The following is a 20,000-nucleotide window of genomic DNA, read 5'->3' on the forward strand; positions in this document are numbered from 1 at the left end:
TCTTGTATGACATTGTTATATATGAGTCATACAGTGTGAGAAATAAAGGAGTATGCAGTTATAGAGTAAGCCTCTTTTTCTCAGCTACATTTCACAACATAAAACTAGCTGGTAAAGTCAGGTCACCTAATCGAGTCTGATAATTGTAAGGTTTACTCACAGCATGATTTAAGTTTCAATTTCAAGTTCCAATTCATTCTCTTATAATTTTTCTGCCTTAGTCAACATTACACAAGACGTTGGCTCTCTTAACATTTAAGATCCACATGAGAATATCTTGTCGGTTTTACTATAGGTATGAGTGTAGAAATAGTTTCTTTCTAGTAGAATCATAATTTAAAAAAAGAAAACTGCACTCAAGTTTTTATTTTAATCAATGATACTACATCTCCTTTATTTTTCTTATCCCTAAATCTGATTGTGAAATAAATGGTCGTTTCTATTATTTTGATTAGCTGGCTTTGTACTGTGAAGTTACAAGAAGGAAAGGAATCACCTACTGCTGTCAGTCTCTATGTAATAATAAAAAAAAAAAGTACCAGTCCTTAAGTTAATAATACTATTTTTGTGATTTGGAGGGGAAAAAACACTTTGCTGCCAAAGGGTAATCCACATAGAAGAGCTGATTGCTAGGTGAAACACTGACAGAATGAGACTCTATTATGGAACCTATTGACATGAGAACTCTACATCACTGTAAAGTACAGCCACTCACATATTCCTGAACTCAAACAGAGTAAAATGATATAGTATTTATGAATTCTGTCTGCTCCAGGAGGGCATGACAATACATACTTAATCCAACATGGTTTATCAGGGACAGACAGTGACGTTCTGGTGCTTAGAGATCACACCCTCAGGACCCCAACATACCCATTACTGAGACATCATATTCTATCAGCAGTGCTGCTTCTTGTCCACATTGTTTAAGAATACTCATGGCTTCAGCATGCGTAGTTCCAAGAAGCCGAATTCCATCCACACTGAGCAACCTGTCACCGGGTTTGATCGTGCCCTCTCTGAAGGGAGAATAAAGGAATAGTCTTGATTAATTTAGCATAATGGGGCTTAGTATTAATAGTCACTTTAGCCAAATTCGTTTTGTCACACATATTCTGCCATCCATCTCATTTGCATTCTTTTTAAGCATCAAATGTGACAGTAAGAGTATAAAGAAGTAACCCTGAACAGAAAATTGCTGTAATATGAAAATCAGTAATGAGAAAATAACTACACATTAGCAAAAAAACCTAATTACCCACAGGTAATTCTTGGAGTACAAAAGTAAGAAGGGCACATTTTCCCTTTTTCTAGGTTTTTGCCTGAATGTCTAAAATGGATTTATTGGAGGCCAGAAAATACTATTCACCTATTTTCCCAAAGTCAGGTAAGCAGAAAAGCCTGCGAATTTCATTCAAATCATTACTAGTGAATCCAAGCAGGATAGGAACTGCTGGTAAGAAATCTCCCTTGTCTATAAATTTCCCTACTGATTTATAAGGCCATTTGGCAATAATTCAATTGATTCGATCTCACATTCCCTGGAAGAGGAAGGCAAATGCTATCCTCCCTGCTGTGACCACAGACACTCAAGGCATTGAGAGATGACTCAGGACTTCAGTGACACCACAAAAGTACAGCCAGGGTGGCCCCCAGATAACACTCCCTGCCTCAGGGAGGGGCACAAAAATAAGAAAATCAAATGGTGGGATTATATGTTTAGGATTTGGAAAGAATAATAATGACCTTTGAAATAAAAATGTTTCACCTAGTTCACTCTCTAAGTCTTTTGGCTCCAATTTTTTTCTTAAATTCTCAGATTTCTTTGAGTTCTAAATTAATTTGGTAATACAAGTATGCCACTCACAAGCTCGTAGCCTATGTTTTGACATTTCTGTCAACTCCAACTCTAAATGTTAATAAGAAATGAAAACATTCTAATTTGCTTCAGGAAGAGTGATTCACTAGACACATGAGAAGGGAAAAGGGGAAACTCTTGGACATTTTGTTACCCGCTGCAAAAGCAAATATACGTCAGCAAAAGTAAGAAACCAGTGTTTTCCTATTTTCTAATTTTATATGAAATATCACTTTCTTAAAAGTGAGCTAATCATATGAGTTTCAAAGGAAAAGAAGCCTGAATTCCTCCCGCAGTTCTTTGACTTACTCACTGCCATACTGGCAGTTCTGTCATCTGTAAATGTGGATACAAAGACCTCATGTAGAGGGTGGTTGTAAGGATAAAATAAGATAATGTCCACCAAGCCCTCAGAACAGTCCCTAGCACGTAGTAAATGCTTAATAAATAATGGTTATTATTATTATTATCTCTATCTCTTAACAAAGGTTTTTAAGTTTATCCTGGTCTGAAACAGAGAGACAGGAGGAATCAGTGCATTTTCCTCCTCCCCTTCAACAATCTCTAATGGCAGCAGTTGTGTTCCCCCATCATTATAGAGTCAACTTTTGCTGTGGGAAACTAATACAGAGATGAGTATCTCCAGAGACACCTAAGTTGTGAGTTTACTCGGGGCCCTAATTATAACAGGAAAGTTGAAGGCATTTGCCCTTCACATATTCAAATTAACAAGGAAGAGAAATGCAAAGAAAACTCTACAGACTAATGAAATGTCTTCCATTTTACGGAAAGTCACTTCCATTCTGACCTACACAGTCACTATCAAAGAATAACACTAATAATAAGAATGTTGAGAATGGTAAGAATCTCACCACCACCACCTATCTGTCCAGGCTGGGAGATTAGCAACAGGCGAAGATGCATTTCCAGCATCTGCCTAAATGCTGAGTTCTGTAAGTACCTCCCCTGTGCCATGCCCCCTGCAAGGCATTATATATCTCCAATCTTTGATAAAACTGATCAGCTCTGAAAGGTGGTATTATTACCTACATTTCCAATGGTGGTGGAAATTGACCTCAGTATTAAGTCACTTGACAAAGATATAGTAAGTATAGAATCTAGAGGCAAACCTTTTTTTTTTCTGATTCCATAGTTCAGACTCTCAATTTTCACATTGTAACATGTTTGCTTAATAGCTACATTTTACTGTAAAATTTCTAATTTATCAACTTCTATGTTAAAGTCCCCAGCTTTATTTATTCTATTTTGGATAGTGACACAGAAAGATAAAGTTTACCTGTCAGCAGGCCCTCCAGGACGAACACATGTTATCACAACTGGACGAGATTTATTTCTATCATCATGTGCTCCCCCTAGCAAAGAAAAGGAACAGAGCTTAAAACTGCTTTCATTGTTGGCATTTAAAAAAAATCACCTACAAGATATCAGCTGAGAAATGTCCTACTTGATGTACGGAGGAAAATATGTAAAATTTTCCTTGAGGCATACAAAAGCCTTAAAGGTCTTGCTCATTTTATATAGAATATATTTTTGAAGTCACCATTTCTCCATCTTTCAATAAATATATGGCTGTAACCAGGTAATATATAAAGTATTTAACAACTGGAATGGCAAGAGAATCAACCGATTATATCAAGTACTGGCCCGATTTGAACAGCTGTCAGTTATACAGTACAGATGTGTATATCTGTGCCAATCAAACTGATCTAAAATACTGGTCAGTAGGTCTACAACCTAACATAAAGGAAACAAAAACCAAAGTAAAAGAAAAATCCTAGTACTAAAAAAGAAAGCCAAAAAAAAAAATTCAAGTGACCAAGTGGCTTTCATTAAAAGTGAGATGTTCAAAAATTTGGGGCAAAATTTTCAGACTGTGTCAAGCCAGCTGCAATCCTTGAATGGGAATTTTAACTTTCTGTTAGAAAACTTCTCCACAAGAATTCATAGAAACATAGATGTTTCAAGATGGAAGGTAATTTATTGTAAATTTTCTTTTTAATCCATGACCCTTTTGTACAATTTCCTTAATCTGTGCTCCCCCAGCGTCTGCATGAAATGCACGCGTGCTGGCCTACTTACTAGATGTGAGGCTGCTCACTCCACATTTGGACACCAAGGAGTGTTAGAAAGTTCTTCCTAATATTTAACTGATATCTCTTTTCCTTTAACTTTCATCCACTCGTCTTTGTTCTATGATCCAGAGCAGTAAAATAAAAATGTATGCTCTCTTTTACAAAAATGCTTTTCCGAAAGTTGAAAACAGAGATTATACGCTGGCTAAATCTCACCTTCTTAATGTTGAACAATGCCAGTTTCCTTATCTATTCTTTATGTGACCTGATTTCTTTGCACATCACCATCCTGACTGTCCATCTGGGAGTTTTCTAGTTTGCCAATATCTGATAAATATAAACCTATTGTCAATTATTGCTCCCTTAATGTTTGCCTGCTAGAACAGATGGACATTTCCCAAACCTGGCATAGGCCGAAAGGTCAACTTATAGAAAATAGCCTAAGAGAAAAATTAAAAGGCATTCACAGTTCCTCAGGAAGGCAAATGCTTCTTTTGTGCTCACTTCTACGACAAGTGATTTGTTTAGTGTGATTGATTGGTAAAAGCTCTCATTCAGTATTTTATTCTTGCATTGTGTTTAGCTTCTTTAGAAATTCCTCTTTAAAATAAGAAATTCACCACTTTCTCAGAAAAAAATTTTAAAATAAAAATTTTAAATGTTACCACAAATGCTTGCCCATATTTATGTAAATACTGTTACATAATTTCTCTTTTGCAAGGTGATCATAAAGGATAGGTTTGCTTTTCCCTAAAGGAAAACTGATTGAGAAAAGGATGGGGGTCAAAGATAGCAAGAAATCGTTCCATAATTTTGGTTTGTATTTACAAATTTCAATATGTAATATCGAATGCTTGTTAAAGTGTGAGGTAGTTTTATATTTCTTGATATGTGGCATTTTACTGTTATTTGTAATGAACCAAGTTCCCTGTGTGACTTACTTAGGTTCTGGAAGTTTGCAGCAGCAAGGCCAAACAGGAACCACTCAGAGACCAGTGATATTCTCAATCCTGGTGTACATTAGTATCAACTGGGATGCTTTTTGAAAATATCAATGCCAGGGCCACAGTGCAGACCAAATCTGAACATCAAGCAGCATATGTTAAATGACTAGGCCCACCTACAATTTTACATTTGAGAATTACTAGAGAAGGTTTCCTTGTCTAAAGTGTAAAGCAACTTCATGGCAGAGTGCCTTTCCTATCAGTCCAACTCATCTCTTCTGGCTTGCTTGCATTAACTGAAATTTAACCCTCCAAGGTTTAGGCCAGAACATCATTTTTATTCTATGGATGCAAGCTTCTATTGTTTAGGGAATAAAGGTTTTAGAACCTGTGACTTATAGCATTAGAAATATAATTCCATTCATCAGCTAAAAGCTTAATGTTGCAAGTTCCATTCTATTAGGTTAGAACTTCTCCCATACTAAACAGATATGCTCCATCTGCAATATCTTCTCTTTCCTGACTGTCCTAGTATTTTCTATTGATCTAAGTTTAGCTCAACTCCCATCTATGCCAAAATATCTTATCTGCCATACTAATATTTACTCACAGCACTTTCTCATTCTGATTAACCAGTGATTCTTAAGTGATGGGTAGTGACCACCTTTTGAACAGGGAAAATCCTCCAGATGGACCTCTAACTAATCTAAAAACAGAAATCCTATATTTGATTCTCATTGAGAAATTATTCAAAACTCCAAAAACTTTTATGTTCAACCAACATATTAAGGGAGTTATTAAGGCCTATAAAAATGCGGTCCTCATAAACTAATACTGGCTTATTGTAACTTAAGTTTTTTAAAATCAGTATAATACTATGAAGTCTGATGTCCACACAAATCTAGGCAACATTCAATCATTCACTTATTAAGTGCCTCCACATACCAGGCAGTATTCTAAGCTCACATTATAAAACTCCTGGATATACACACAGATAGTGGAAATTCCTGCAAACTGTGGGAAGGGTGTTTTACTAACATTACATCATCAGTTGTCTTGAGGTGGTTGTGCATTTCAGTTGCTTCTATTCTGTTTATTTCTTGATAATAAATTACTCTTGGTTTAGCTCTTTCATTAGTAATTTGATTCGCTATTGACTAACCATACAGTCACTATCAATGAATATCTGCAACAGCAGTATATTTTGGTACAGTGTTTCAATAATTAGGCTATGTATGCATGTGATTCAAGAACCTTCTCGTTCAGATCTGTATTGCAAAACAGATTTGTATATATCACCCTTCAGCCAAAAATTACTTGTACAGTGACTTTTCACTATATTCATCTAGTTATTTTAAACAGAAATTTAGGAATGGTTAGGGTAAATGATCTTGGGCTCTGTTGCTCCACCTAAAAATAGGCCTTGGTCAGAAAAATGTAATAACTACAAGTCTAAACCTCTCAATGAGTTCCTAGTTCCACATCCTCTCTACTACTCACTTGAGCACTCTATCAACTTTTGTCTTAAATTCACTGGACTGTAATTCCTTGTAGATCAAGGTATTGTCTTATGACTCCATAGTACTTCTTTCCATGCTGACATGTTGACATGTGCTTAATAAACATTTGATTGATTGATTTGTTAAGTGACTGGCACAAAATGAAAGCTACTATTTAAAACTCAATCACTTAAGACAAATCCAAATCTGTACAAGTTTATCCACATCTCTTTTATTCTTTGATGCATACATATTTATTAAGATGTTTAATTTTAATTAATGTTTTAATAATTTTGATAGAATTTTTACTCTGGTGAAGTATAAAATCTTATAGGTGAAGACAAAAACAATCAAGAAATGTGAACTGTTAAAACATTCCTGGTGGAGCCAAGTGGCCAAATAGGAACAGCTCCAGTCTACAGCTCCCAGCGTGAGTGACGCAGAAGACGGGTGATTTCTGCATTTCCATCTGAGGTACCAGGTTCATCTCACTAGGGAGTGCCAGACAGTGGGTGCAGGACAGTGGGTGCAGCGCACCGGGCGCGAGCCAAAGCAGGGTGAGGCAATGCCTCACTCGGGAAGTGCAAGGGGTCAGGGAGTTCCCTTTCCTAGTCAAAGAAAGGGGTGACAGACGGCACCTGGAAAATCGGGTCACTCCCACCCTAATACTGAGCTTTTCCAACGGGCTTAAAAAACAGCACACCAGGAGATTATATCCCGTACCTGGCTTGGAGGGTCCTACGCCCATGGAGTCTCGCTGATTGCTAGCACAGCAGTCTGAGATCAAACTGCAAGGCGGCAGTGAGGCTGGGGGAGGGTGCCTGCCATTGCCCAGGATTGATTAGGTAAACAAAGCAGCTGGGAAGCTCAAACTGGGCGGAGCCCACCACAGCTCAAGGAGGCCTGCCTGCCTCTGTAGGATCCACCTCTCGGGGCAGGGCACAGACAAACAAAAAGACAGCAGTAACCTCTGCAGACTTAAATGTCCCTGTCTGACAGCTTTGAAGAGAGTAGTGGTTCTCCCAGCATGCAGCTGTAGATCTGAGAACAGGCAAACTGCCTCCTCAAGTGGGTCCCTGACCCCCGAGCAGACTAACTGGGAGGCACCCCCAAATAGGGGCAGACTGACACCTCACACGGCCGGGTACTCCTCTTAGACAAAACTTCCAGAGGAACGATCAGGCAGCAGCATTTGCGGATCACCAATATCCGCTGTTCTACAGCCACTGCTGTTCTACAGCCACCGCTGTTCTGCGGCCACCGCTGCTGATACCCAGGCAAACAGGGTTTGGAGCGGACCTCTAGCAAACTCCAACAGACCTGCAGCTGAGGGTCCTGTCTGTTAGAAGGAAAACTAACAAAGAGAAAGGACATCCACACCAAAAACACATCTGTACGTCACCATCATCAAAGACCAAAAGTAGATAAAACCACAAAGATGGGGAAAAAACAGAGCAGAAAAACTGGAAACTCTAAAAAGCAGAGTGCCTCTCCTCTTCCAAAGGAACGCAGCTCCTCACCAGCAATGGAACAGAGCTGGATGGAGAATGACAAGTTGAGAGAAGAAGACTTCAGACGATCAAACTACTCTGAACTACAGGAGGAAATTCAAACCAATGGCAAAGAAGTTAAAAACTTTGAAAAAAAATTAGACGAATGGATACCTAGAATAACCAATGCAGAGAAGTCCTTAAAGGAGCTGATGGAGCTGAAAGCCAAGGCTTGAGAACTATGTGAAGAATGCAGAAGCCTCAGGAGCCGATGCGCTCAACTGGAAGAAAGAGTATCAGTGATGGAAGATGAAATGAATGAAATGAAGCAAGAAGGGAAATTCAGAGAAAAAAGAATAAAAAGAAACAAACAAAGCCTCCAAGAAATATGGGACTATGTGAAAAGACCAAATCTACGTCTGACTGGTGTACCTGAAAGTGATGGGGAGAATGGAATCAAGTGGGAAAACACTCTGCAGGATATTATCCAGGAGAACTTCCCCAATCTAGCAAGGCAGGCCAACATTCAGATTCAGGAAATACAGAGAACACCACAAAGATACTCCTCGAGAAGAGCAACTCCAAGACACATAATTGTCAGATTCACCAAAGTTGAAATGAAGGAAAAAATGTTAAAGGCAGCCAGAGAGAAAGGTCGGGTTACCCACAAAGGGAAGCCCATCAGATTAACAGCTGATCTCTTGGCAGAAGCTCTACAAGCCAGAAGAGAGTGGGGGCCAATATTCAACATTCTTAAAGAAAATAATTTTCAACCCAGAATTTCATATCCAGCCAAACTAAGCTTCATAAGTGAAGGAGAAATAAAATACTTTACAGACAAGCAAATGCTGAGAGATTTTGTCACCACCAGGCCTGCCCTAAAAGAACTCCTGAAGGAAGCACTAAACATGGAAAGGAACAACTGGTACCAGCCGCTGCAAAAACATGCCAAAATGTAAAGACCATCGAGACTAGGAAGAAACTGCATCAACTAACGAGCAAAATCACCAGCTAACATCATAATGACAGGACCAAATTCACACATAACAATTTAACTTTAAATGTAAATGGGCTAAAAGCTCCAATTAGAAGACACAGACTGGCAAATTGGATAAAGAGTCAAGACCCATCAGTGTGCTGTATTCAGGAAACCCATCTCACATGCAGAGACACACATAGGCTCAAAATAAAGGGATGGAGGAAGATCTACCAAGCAAACAGAAAACAAAAAAAGGCAGGGGTTGCAATCCTAGTCTCTGATTAAACAGACTTTAAACCAACAAAGATCAAAAGAGACAAAGAAGGCCATTACATAATGGTAAAGGGATCAATTCAACAAGAAGAGCTAACTATCCTAAATATATATACACCCAATACAGGAGCACCCAGATTCATAAAGCAAGTCCTTAGTGACCTACAAAGAGACTTAGACTCCCACACAATAATAATGGGAGACTTAACACCCCACTGTCAACATTAGACAGATCAACGAGACAGAAAGTTAACAAGGATACCCAGGAATTGAACTCAGCTCTGCACCAAGTGGACCTAATAGACATCTACAGAACTCTCCACCCCAAATCAACAGAATATACATTTTTTTCAGCACCACACTGCACCTATTCCAAAATTGACCACATAGTTGGAAGTAAAGCACCCCTCAGCAAATGTAAAAGAACACAAATTATAACAAACTGTCCCTCAGACTACAGTGCAATCAAACTAGAACTCAGGATTAAGAAACTCACTCAAAACCACTCAACTACATGGAAACTGAACAACCTGCTCCTGAATGACTACTGGGTACATAACGAAATGAAGGCAGAAACAAAGATGTTCTTTGAAACCAATGAGAACAAAGACACAACATACCAGAATCTCTGGGACACATTCAAAGCAGTGTGTAGAGGGAAATTTATAGCACTAAATGCCCACAAGAGAAAGCAGGAAAGATCCAAAATTGACACCCTAACATCACAATTAAAAGAACTAGAAAAGCAAGAGCAAACACATTCAAAAGCTAGCAGAAGGCAAGAAATAACTAAAATCAGAGCAGAACTGACGGAAATAGAGACACAAAAAACTCTTCAAAAAAATTAATGAATCCAGGAGCTGGTTTTTTGAAAAGATCAACAAAATTGATAGACCACTAGCAAGACTAATAAAGAAGAATAGAGAGAAGAATCAAATAGATGCAATAAAAAATGATAAAGGGGATATCACCACTGATCCCAAAGAAATACAAACTACCATCAGAGAATACTACAAATACCTCTACGCAAATAAACTAGAAAATCTAGAAGAAATGGATACATTCCTCGACACATACACCCTCCCAAGACTAAACCAGGAAGAAGTTGAATCTCTGAATAGACCAATAACAGGCTCTGAAATTGTGGCAATAATCAGTAGCTTACCAACCAAAAAAAGTCCAGGAACAGATGAATTCACAGCCGAATTCTACCAAAGCTACAAGGAGGAGCTGGTGCCATTCCTTCTGAAATTATTCCAATCAATAGAAAAAGAGGGAATCCTCCCTAACTCAATTTATGAGGTTTGCATTATCCTGATACCAAAGCCTGGCAGAGACACAACCAAAAAAGAGAATTTTAGACCAATATGCTTGATGAACATTGATGCAAAAATCCTCAATAAAATACTGGCAAACCAAATCCAGCAGCACATCAAAAAGCTTATCCACCATGATCAAGTGGGCTTCATCCCTGGGATGCAAGGCTGGTTGAATCTACACAAATCAATAAATGTAATCCAGCATATAAACAGAACCAAAGACAAAAACCACATGATTATCTCAATAGATGCAGAAAAGGCCTTTGACAAAATTCAACAACACTTCATGCTAAAAACTCTCAATAAATTAGGTATTGATGGGACATATCTCAAAATAATAAGAGCTATCTATGACAAACCCACAGCCAATATCATACTGAATGGGCAAAAACTGGAAGCATTCCCTCTGAAAACTGGCACAAGACAGGGATGCCCTCTCTCACCACTCCTATTAAACGTAGTGTTGGAAGTTCTGGCCAGGGCAATTAGGCAGGAGAAGGAAATAAAGGGTATTCAATTAGGAAAAGAGGAAGTCAAATTGTCCCTGTTTGCAGATGATGTGATTGTATATCTAGAAAACCCCATCGTCTCAGCCCAAAATCTCCTTAAGCTGATAAGCAACTTCAGCAAAGTCTCAGGATACAAAATCAATGTACAAAAATCACAAGCATTCTTATACACCAATAACAGACAAACAGAGAGCCAAATCATGAGTTAACTCCCATTCACAATTGCTTCAAAGAGAATAAAATACCTAGGAATCCAACTTACAAGGGTTGTGAAGGACCTCTTCAAGGAGAACTACAAACCACTGCTCAATGAAATAAAAGAGGATACAAACAAATGGAAGAACATTCCATACTCATCGATAGGAAGAATCAACGTGAAAATGGCCATACTGCCCAAGGTAATTTATAGATTCAATGCCATCCCCAACAAGCTACCAATGACTTTCTTCACAGAATTGGAAAAAACTACTTTAAAGTTCATATGGAACCAAAAAAGAGCCTGCATTGCCAAGTCAATCCTAAGCCAAAAAAACAAAGCTGGAGGCATCAAGCTACCTGACTTCAAACTATACTACAAGGCTACAGTAACCAAAACAGCATGGTACTGGTACAAAAACACAGATATAGATCAATGGAACAGAACAGAGCCCTCAGAAATAATGCTGCATGTCTACAACCATCTGATCTTTGACAAACCTGACTAAAACAAGAAATGGGGAAAGGATTCCCTATTTAATAAATGGTGCTGGGAAAACTGGCTAGCCATATGTAGAAAGCTGAAACTGGATCCCTTCCTTACACCTTATACAAAAATTAATTCAAGATGGATTAAAGACTTAAATGTTAGACCTAAAACAATAAAAACCCTAGAAGAAAACCTAGGCAATATCATTCAGGACATAGGCATGGGCAAGGACTTCATGTCTAAAACACCAAAAGCAATGGCAACAAAAGCCAAAATTGACAAATGGGATCTAATTAAACTAAAGAGCTTCTGCACAGCAAAAGAAACTACCATCAGAGTGAACAGGCAACCTACAGAATGGGAGAGAATTTTTGCAATCTACTCATCTGACAAAGAGCTAATATCCAGAATCTACAATGAACTCAAACAAATTTACAAGAAAAAAACAACCCCATCAAAAAGTGGGTGAAGGATATGAACAGACACTTCTCAAAAGAAGACATTTACGCAGCCAAAAAACACATGAAGAAATGCTCATCATCACTGGCCATCAGAGAAATGCAAATCAAAACCAGAAGGAGATACCATCTCATACCAGTTAGAATGGCGATCATTAAAAAGTCAGGTAACAACAGGTGCTGGAGAGGATGTGGAGAAATAGGAACATTTTTACACTGTTGGTGGGACTGTAAACTAGTTCAACCATTGTGGAAGTCAGTGTGGCGATTCCTCAGGGATCTAGAACTAGAAATACCATTTGACCTAGCCATCCCATTACTGGGTATATACCCAAAGGATTATAAATCATGCTGCTATAAAGACACATGCACACGTATGTTTATTGCGGCACTATTCACGATAGCAAAGACTTGGAACCAACCCAAATGTCCAACAATGATAGACTGGATTAAGAAAATGTGGCACATATACACCATGGAATACTATGCAGCCATAAAAAATGATGAGTTCATGTCCTTTATAGGGACATGGATGAAACTGGAAACCATCATTCTCAGCAAACTATCGCAAGGACAAAAAACCAAACACTGCATGTTCTCACTCATAGGTGGGAATTGAACAATGAGAACATGGACACAGGAAGGGGAACATCACACTCCGGGGAGTGTTGTGGGGTGTGGGGATGGGGGAGGGATAGCATTAGGAGATATACCTAATGCTAAATGACAAGTTAATGGATGCAGCACACCAACATGGCACATGTATACATATGTAACAAACCTGTACATTGTGCACATGTACCCTAAAACTTAAAGTATAATAATAACAAAATTAAAAAAAAATTTCTGACTGTGGAAAACCAAATACTGCATGTTCTCACTTATAAGTGGGTGCTAAGCATTGAGTACACATGGACACAAAGAAGGGAACAACAGACACTGAGGCCTATTTGAGGGTGGAGGTTGGAGGGTGGGAGGAGGAGGAGGATGAGGATTGAAAAACTGATTGAGTATGATGATGATTACTTGGATGACAAAATTATCTGTACCCCAAGCCCCCATGACATGCAATTCCCCCATGTAACAAACCTGAACATGTACCCCTTGAACCTAAGATAGAAGTTGGAAAGAAAAAAAATCCCTGATGTTTATATAGCTCCCTATTGAAGCTCATTGTCATCCTATGAGTTGAGAGTTGTTAATGTAGGCACAGTCTTTAAGGAATAAAATTACTAATGAGAAAATATAATGCAAGATAGAATTATACTTTAGAATTAGTAGGTTTTTTTTTTTTTTTTTTGAGATGGAGTCTGGCTCTATCACCCAGGCTGGAGTGCAGTGGCACGATCTGGGCTCACTGCAAGCTCCACCTCCCGGGTTCACACCATTCTCCTGCCTCAGCCTCCTGAGTAGCTGGGACTACAGGCGCCTGCCACCACGCCCGGCTAATGTTTTTGTATTTTTTCAGTAGAGATGGGGTTTCACCGTGTTAGCCAGGATGGTCTCGATCTCCTGACCTCATTATCTGCCTGCCTCGGCCTCCCAAAGTGCTGGGATTACAGGCGTGAGTCACTGTGCCCGGCCTAGAATTAGTAGTTTTATGATAAGTTGGAGTCACCTGAAATTGTTATTATCAATGCCATACTATAATATGATGACTTGAGCTGAAGCACATAGATACCCAAGAGATTAGAATCTTCGATCCATTTTTAGAAAGCTACAATAACCAAATGTGTTTCTGGAGAAATTTATTTAAATAAAGTCCCTTAATCCTAGTGTATTAAATCAAATCAAGCATACTAATCAACATTTTTCAGTGATATCGAAAAATATAAAAGGAAAGACAAAAGACATGTTGAAAAGTATAGGATGACTGAATTGACAAGGTTTATAAACATTGGCTTTTTGCTCTGTATTAATGAACCAAAAATAGAGCTACATATGGTTTCCAGTTTTATTATCATTCAATGTTGCGTTTATTTAAAGAAGAGAAGATTTTTCTAACCCAGAGAGTGAGAGAAAATCTTTACAACCAATACATCCAACAAAGGACTAATATCCAGAATCTGTAGGGAACTCAAAGAAATTAGCAAGAAAAAACCAAACAATCCCATCAAAAAGTGGGCTAAGGACATGAATAGACAATTCTCAAAAGAAGATATAAAAATGGCCAACAAACATATGAAAAAATGCTCAACATCACTAATGATCAGGGAAATGCAAATCAAAACCACAATGTGGTACCACCTTATTCCTGCAAGAGTGGCCATAATCAAAAAATAAAAAAAAAAATGTTGACGTGGATGCAGTGAAAAGGGAACACTTCTACACTGCTGGAGGGAATGTAAACTAGTACAACCACTATAGAAAACAGTGTGGGGATCCTTAAAGAACAAAAAGTAGAACTATCATTTGATCCAGCAATTCCACAACTGGATATCTACCAGAGGAAAAGAAGTCATAATACAAAAAAGATACTTGCACATGCATATTTACAGCAGCACGATTTGCAATTGCAAAAATATGGAACCAGCCCAAATACCCATCAATCAACTAGTGGATAAAGAAACTGGTATACATATACAATAGAATACTACTCAGCCATAAAAAGGAATGAATTAATGGAATTTGCAGCAATCTGGATGGAATTGGAGACCATTATTTTAAGTGAAGTAACTCAGGAAAGGAAAATCAAATATCGTATGTTCTCACTCGTAAGTAGGAGCTAAGCTATGAGAATGCAAAGGCATAAGAAAGATACAAGGGACTTTCAGGACTCGGGGAAAGGGGGAGGGGGCTGAGGAATAAAAGGCTACAAATTGGGTTCAGTGTATACTGCTCGGGTCGTGGGTGCACCAAAATCTCACAAATCACCACTAAATAACTTATTCATGTAACCAAATACCCAAATACCACCTGTTCTCTGAAAACCTATGGAAATATTTTTTTTAAAGTAGATTTTTCTAACCAACACCTACCTCGAATTACAAAACCAAAGGTATTGCCTTCTTTATGTAATGTGACCTCCACTGTTCGGAAAATAACACTTGATCCTTGCACAGCTGAATAAAGGAAAGAGAGAAGGAAATATAACTTGTAAGTCATCATAACATTTCTAAATCATTCAATGTGGCATAAAATATTACAGATCCCTGTTGCAAATAAGTTTTGAGTAATAAGCAACAATTCCTTTTCAAAGAAAATGTTTAAAAAACTGTAATGACATAAAAATACCATAAAACAGTCATCTGTATAAGTGACTCATATAGATACAAGTGGAAACAAAATCATAGCTAGCTCATTTCCTTCTATATAGTTCGTTTCTAGATAAGAGGGGGATATTTACATTGTTTAAACTCTACCTAACAAGAGAGACAATATTTATATAAGTAGAATTGTTTTCCTTTTGTAAAATGCAAAAACAATATTTTTGTAACACTTGTACAATAACTTCTGTATTTATTTTTATTTTGCAGCTGGCACAGGAAGAAAAATTATCATTCTCAGATTGCTATCAACAATTAGGCTGATGCTAATAGATGTTCTGACATATAAATAGCTATTAAACTAAGACACAGCAACCCAGATGAAACTTAGAGGGCAAAAGAAATTCTAAGTGCATTTAAAATACTACTACTATCTAAGAAACTACAGATTGACTTAATTTTACTTGATATATTATGCTTATGTTGTGTTTGCATGATTATCACTTTCATTTAACAAAATGGAATTGTATTGTCAAGCTGCAATCTCTAGTCACATTACATACATGTATGATGGTATAAGGTATATGAAGGTACATTTACTAAAATATTCTGTAAGATTGCTTACAAGAACCTGTTGAGTCATTCTAGTTGTACTATATACACCATTTCTGCATAAAAAAACCCATAAAACTTCCACAAACTGGTATTTTATCATTATGCACAGAGAAATGTTTTTATTCATAGAGACTTGTAATGTGTAGGAGAATTTTAGATCTTTATTTTGAATTTGTACCTAGTTAATACCATGTTCATTACCAAGTAACACATTTTTTTACATTGCTACTAGATCCTGAAGGGTTTATTAGATAAAACTATCAGCAAAAAGTATACAGTCAGGCCAGGCGCGGTGGCTCACGCCTGTAATCCCAGCACTTTGGGATGCCAAGGCGGGTGGATCACAAGGTCAGGAATTCAAGGCCAGCCTGGCTAAGATCGTGAAACCTCATCTCTACTAAAAATGCAAAAATCAGCTGGGCGTGGTGGAAGATGCCTGTAATCCCAGCTACTTTGGAGGCTGAGGCAGGAGAATCACTTGAACCCGCGGGGGCGGAGGTTGCAGTGAGCTGAGATCGTGCCACTGCACTCCAGCCTGGGTGACAGAGTGAGACTCTGTCTCAAAAAAAAAAAAAAAAAATATATATATATATATATATATATATATATATATATATATATATATATATACACACACACACACATACATATACATATATACATATATATACACACACAGGCAGAATCCAAAGGCATTGTTTAAAAAAACTTTTCTTACAGAAATAGCAAGTAGTTTTAGGCTTTAATTACAATTATTTTTAATTATCAGAAATTCTGAACCCTCAAGGGAAGAAACATGATTAAGAAAAGTACACATTTAAATTCATAAAACTGTCCACTATCTGGCTGGGACATAAAGTACAATAAAAATTTGGATCGGCTGAAAAACAACATAAACCTACAGTTCAAAAATGTTTTGGTATACTGCTGATTTAATTAAATGTCATATTCTTGCTATCAGGGGAATTTCAGCTTAGACTAATCAACTAGGAACAGTACTCACAAACAGATGAAAGTGTTGAGGTACAGTTTTAATTAAACAAAAAAAATTGAGTTCATTCCAAATATTTTCTTATTTCCATGGCCCAACAAGCCACTTGAAGAAATTGGTTAAGAAAATGATTTTTTTTTTGTTCTCTTGGTAAGTGAGGAAAGGAAAGGATATGGAAAGAAATAATTAATAAGAATTTACTGTGTGCTCAGAACTCTGCAAAAATGGTTTACACATATTATTTCATTTACTCAATAAATCAGCTTTCAATGACATATAATTGAATTCTAATTCTGGGCCACCTGTCCTTTTTGGCTGGGTATCTGTTATGGGAATGCAAAGTACTGCAATTTTGATTTTGCTGTAGCTAAATCTTGCTGACTATAAAATCTTACAATCAAATTTAAAGTCAATATAAAGGCTCTGTATTTTCTACAGCTTTAGATTATCTACGCTATTGTTCTCCATCATTTACAAAGATAAATTTGAATGTTGACTGCGTTTTAATACAATTAATGAAATAGATTTGGTCTTTCTTGTTTTTATTTGCATGGCTGGCTCTTCATGATTGGGTTTTCACGTGCAGTACCAGACATCCTGCATTGCCATGTAAATTTTACTAATGACTCATACATATGTATGTATACACAAAGTTCCAATTAAGGTGCTTACCCAAAAGATCAAAAAGTAGGTAGAAACCAAATTCACAATGCAAAAATTCTCCTCGGTCTTTCAATTGTGCTGTTGTCCCTTCTTTCTACATGTGGATATTCATGTACTTCTACACAGTTATTTTCCTATGGTAGATGAGGTTTTTGAAATTACAAACTCCTTCCCTGCCTCCCTATTCCCTGTCTCAATAGGAGTTGTGAACTTTCCTACCTCATTATGCTGCACTTGCCCATGTGACTTACTTTTGCCACTAGGATGTTAACAGACACAAGCAGAGGCTGGAATTGCACTTACATGGTTGTGCTTGCCCTGTTTTCCCTCTGCCATTGCCACAAGAAGAGCGTCCTCCAGGTAGCTGCTGCTCCCTCAAACTGAATCCCAGAGTAAATCACATGGAGGAGACCTGAGACTCTTTCTCCCTCTCTCCTCCTCCACTTCACCACCACCACCACCACCACCACCATCATCTGTCTATTTTAGAACTGAGAAGTCAGAAGGCTGTCAAAGGGACATGCTTTAACACATTTATTTGAGTTAAAAATGACTCCTTAGGATAGAAAGGTCATGTGAGTTAGCTAATGGAGTAACAGTGAAGAGTGCCTTTGCCAATCAGATTATAGGGCAGACTGTTTTTCATTAAATGAAGTAAACCTGTAGCTCCAAGGTTTGCATGAAAACAGAATCTAAAGACAGATAAAACAAACAATATGCTAGGAATTGCATCCTTTCTAACTATTCATGCTTATGATAATTTTAGGTGTTAACTAAAAATGGATGAGAATTATGTAACATTTCAAAATTCTTTAAGAGTTAAGTGACCAAAAAATTTGAAGGCACTGCTCTAGACCAAATTTTTATTTTTATTATTTATTTATTTTTAATTGAGACAGGGTCTTTCTATGTTGCCCAGGGTGGTCTTAAACTCCTGGGCTCAAGGGATCCTCCTGCCTCAGCCTCCCAAAGTGCTAGGATTACAGGTGTAAGCCACCACAGCTGGCCTAGACCAGCTTTTAATACATAAATATCAGGCCGGGCGTGGTGGCTCATGCCTGTAATCCCAGCACTTTAGGAGGCTGAGGCAGGTGATCACCTGAGGTCAGGAGTTTGAGACCAGCCTGGTCAATGTGGTAAAACCCCATCTCTACTACAAATATAAAAATTAGCCGGACATAATGGTGGGCACCTGTAATCCCAGCTACTCAGGAGGCTGAGGCAGGAGAATTGCTTGAATCTGAGAGGTGGAGGTTGCAGTGAGCCGAGATTGTGCCACTGCACTCCGGCCTGGGTGACAAGAGCGAAACTCCATCTCAAAACAAACAAACAAAAATACATAAATATCTAAGATACAGGTTGGTAATATTCTCTCTAAACACAGTCTCAAAGAATCACATAATTTTAAAGTCAGAAAGAGCTTTAGAGCTTATATAGACCAATCATTTTATTTTCATAAAGAAACTGAATCTTAGAAAGGGCCAAGGTCAAACCAGTTTTCTTCTATCAGATTACACACACACACACACACACACTCACACACACACACACATACACACACTCTCTCTCTCTCTCTCTTTTCTGATTCTTTCTGAACTCTGTGGTTAGCTGAGACTCAAACTGCTGTGATCCTGAGATAGCTACCAGTCTTGGCCTTGGGTCGCTTGTCTTTTAGCAGTCAGTTCTCCTTATGGACCTTCAGGTGTGGATGGCCTGTTTCTGCTCTAGCTGTCTGAGCTAAGTGAAAGGGGAACTTATTAATTCCTTCAACCACTCTCAACTCAAGTATCCGATTACTTTCTTCAAATATAGTAGAAAGAGACAGATTATTCTTGGAGAATAGACCCCTTTTGATTTCCGTCACAACAATTCACACTTTTGTGTTTAAAAATATTTTGCCCCTTTTCCATCAGCTTTATTGTATGACAGGGAAAAAGATGGTACTGCATAATGACCAAGTCACGATAGGTTTTAACTCCTAAACATTTCTGATACTCATCTCCTTTAACTCTACTAATGCTATTTTTATTTAGGATATCACTTCTCTTTTGGAAAATCCTAACAGTCTTTGGGCTTGTAGCCTCTGGTCTTTTCTCTATTTTGCCTCCTACAATGATAAATCTAAATACTCAGATCTTATGATGCTGTTCTCCTTTAAGGGCTCCTCACGGCCCACTGGATGCCAAGCTCCAACAATATGGCTTATAAGGCCATATTATACACTATTTAAATTCTCATTTGGTCCTCGTGTACCTCATTGGCCTCATCTATCTCCAAGCCCCCTCTTTCTTTGTCCCTCCTTCTCCGTCTTTCTCCCTCTTTCTCTCTTCCCTTCCTCCCTTCCTTCCTTCTGTCCATTCTTCCTTCTCTCTCTCTCTCTTTTTGAGATGGAGTCTTGCTCTGTTGCCCAGGCTGGAG

The 20,000-nt window shown here is 38.0% G+C and overlaps 1 protein-coding gene across 22 annotated transcripts in view; it reads right to left on the reverse strand.

Annotated features, from left to right (window-relative positions):
* The window catches only part of GRIP1 (glutamate receptor interacting protein 1), a 721,908-nt gene that overhangs the window by 167,315 nt on the left and 534,593 nt on the right, over positions 1–20,000 (reverse strand). For all 22 annotated transcript variants that reach the window (XM_047428622.1, XM_005268757.5, NM_001379351.1 and 19 more), the window contains 3 exons: positions 15,086–15,169; positions 3,156–3,231; positions 874–1,019 (listed from right to left, as the gene is read on the reverse strand). In XM_047428622.1, the coding sequence (XP_047284578.1) occupies positions 874–1,019; positions 3,156–3,231; positions 15,086–15,169 (306 nt within the window). The remainder of the gene's footprint in view (positions 1–873; positions 1,020–3,155; positions 3,232–15,085; positions 15,170–20,000) is intronic.

Source organism: Homo sapiens, chromosome 12 (assembly GCF_000001405.40).
Source record: "Homo sapiens chromosome 12, GRCh38.p14 Primary Assembly".
NCBI classification, from domain to species: Eukaryota; Metazoa; Chordata; class Mammalia; order Primates; family Hominidae; genus Homo; species Homo sapiens.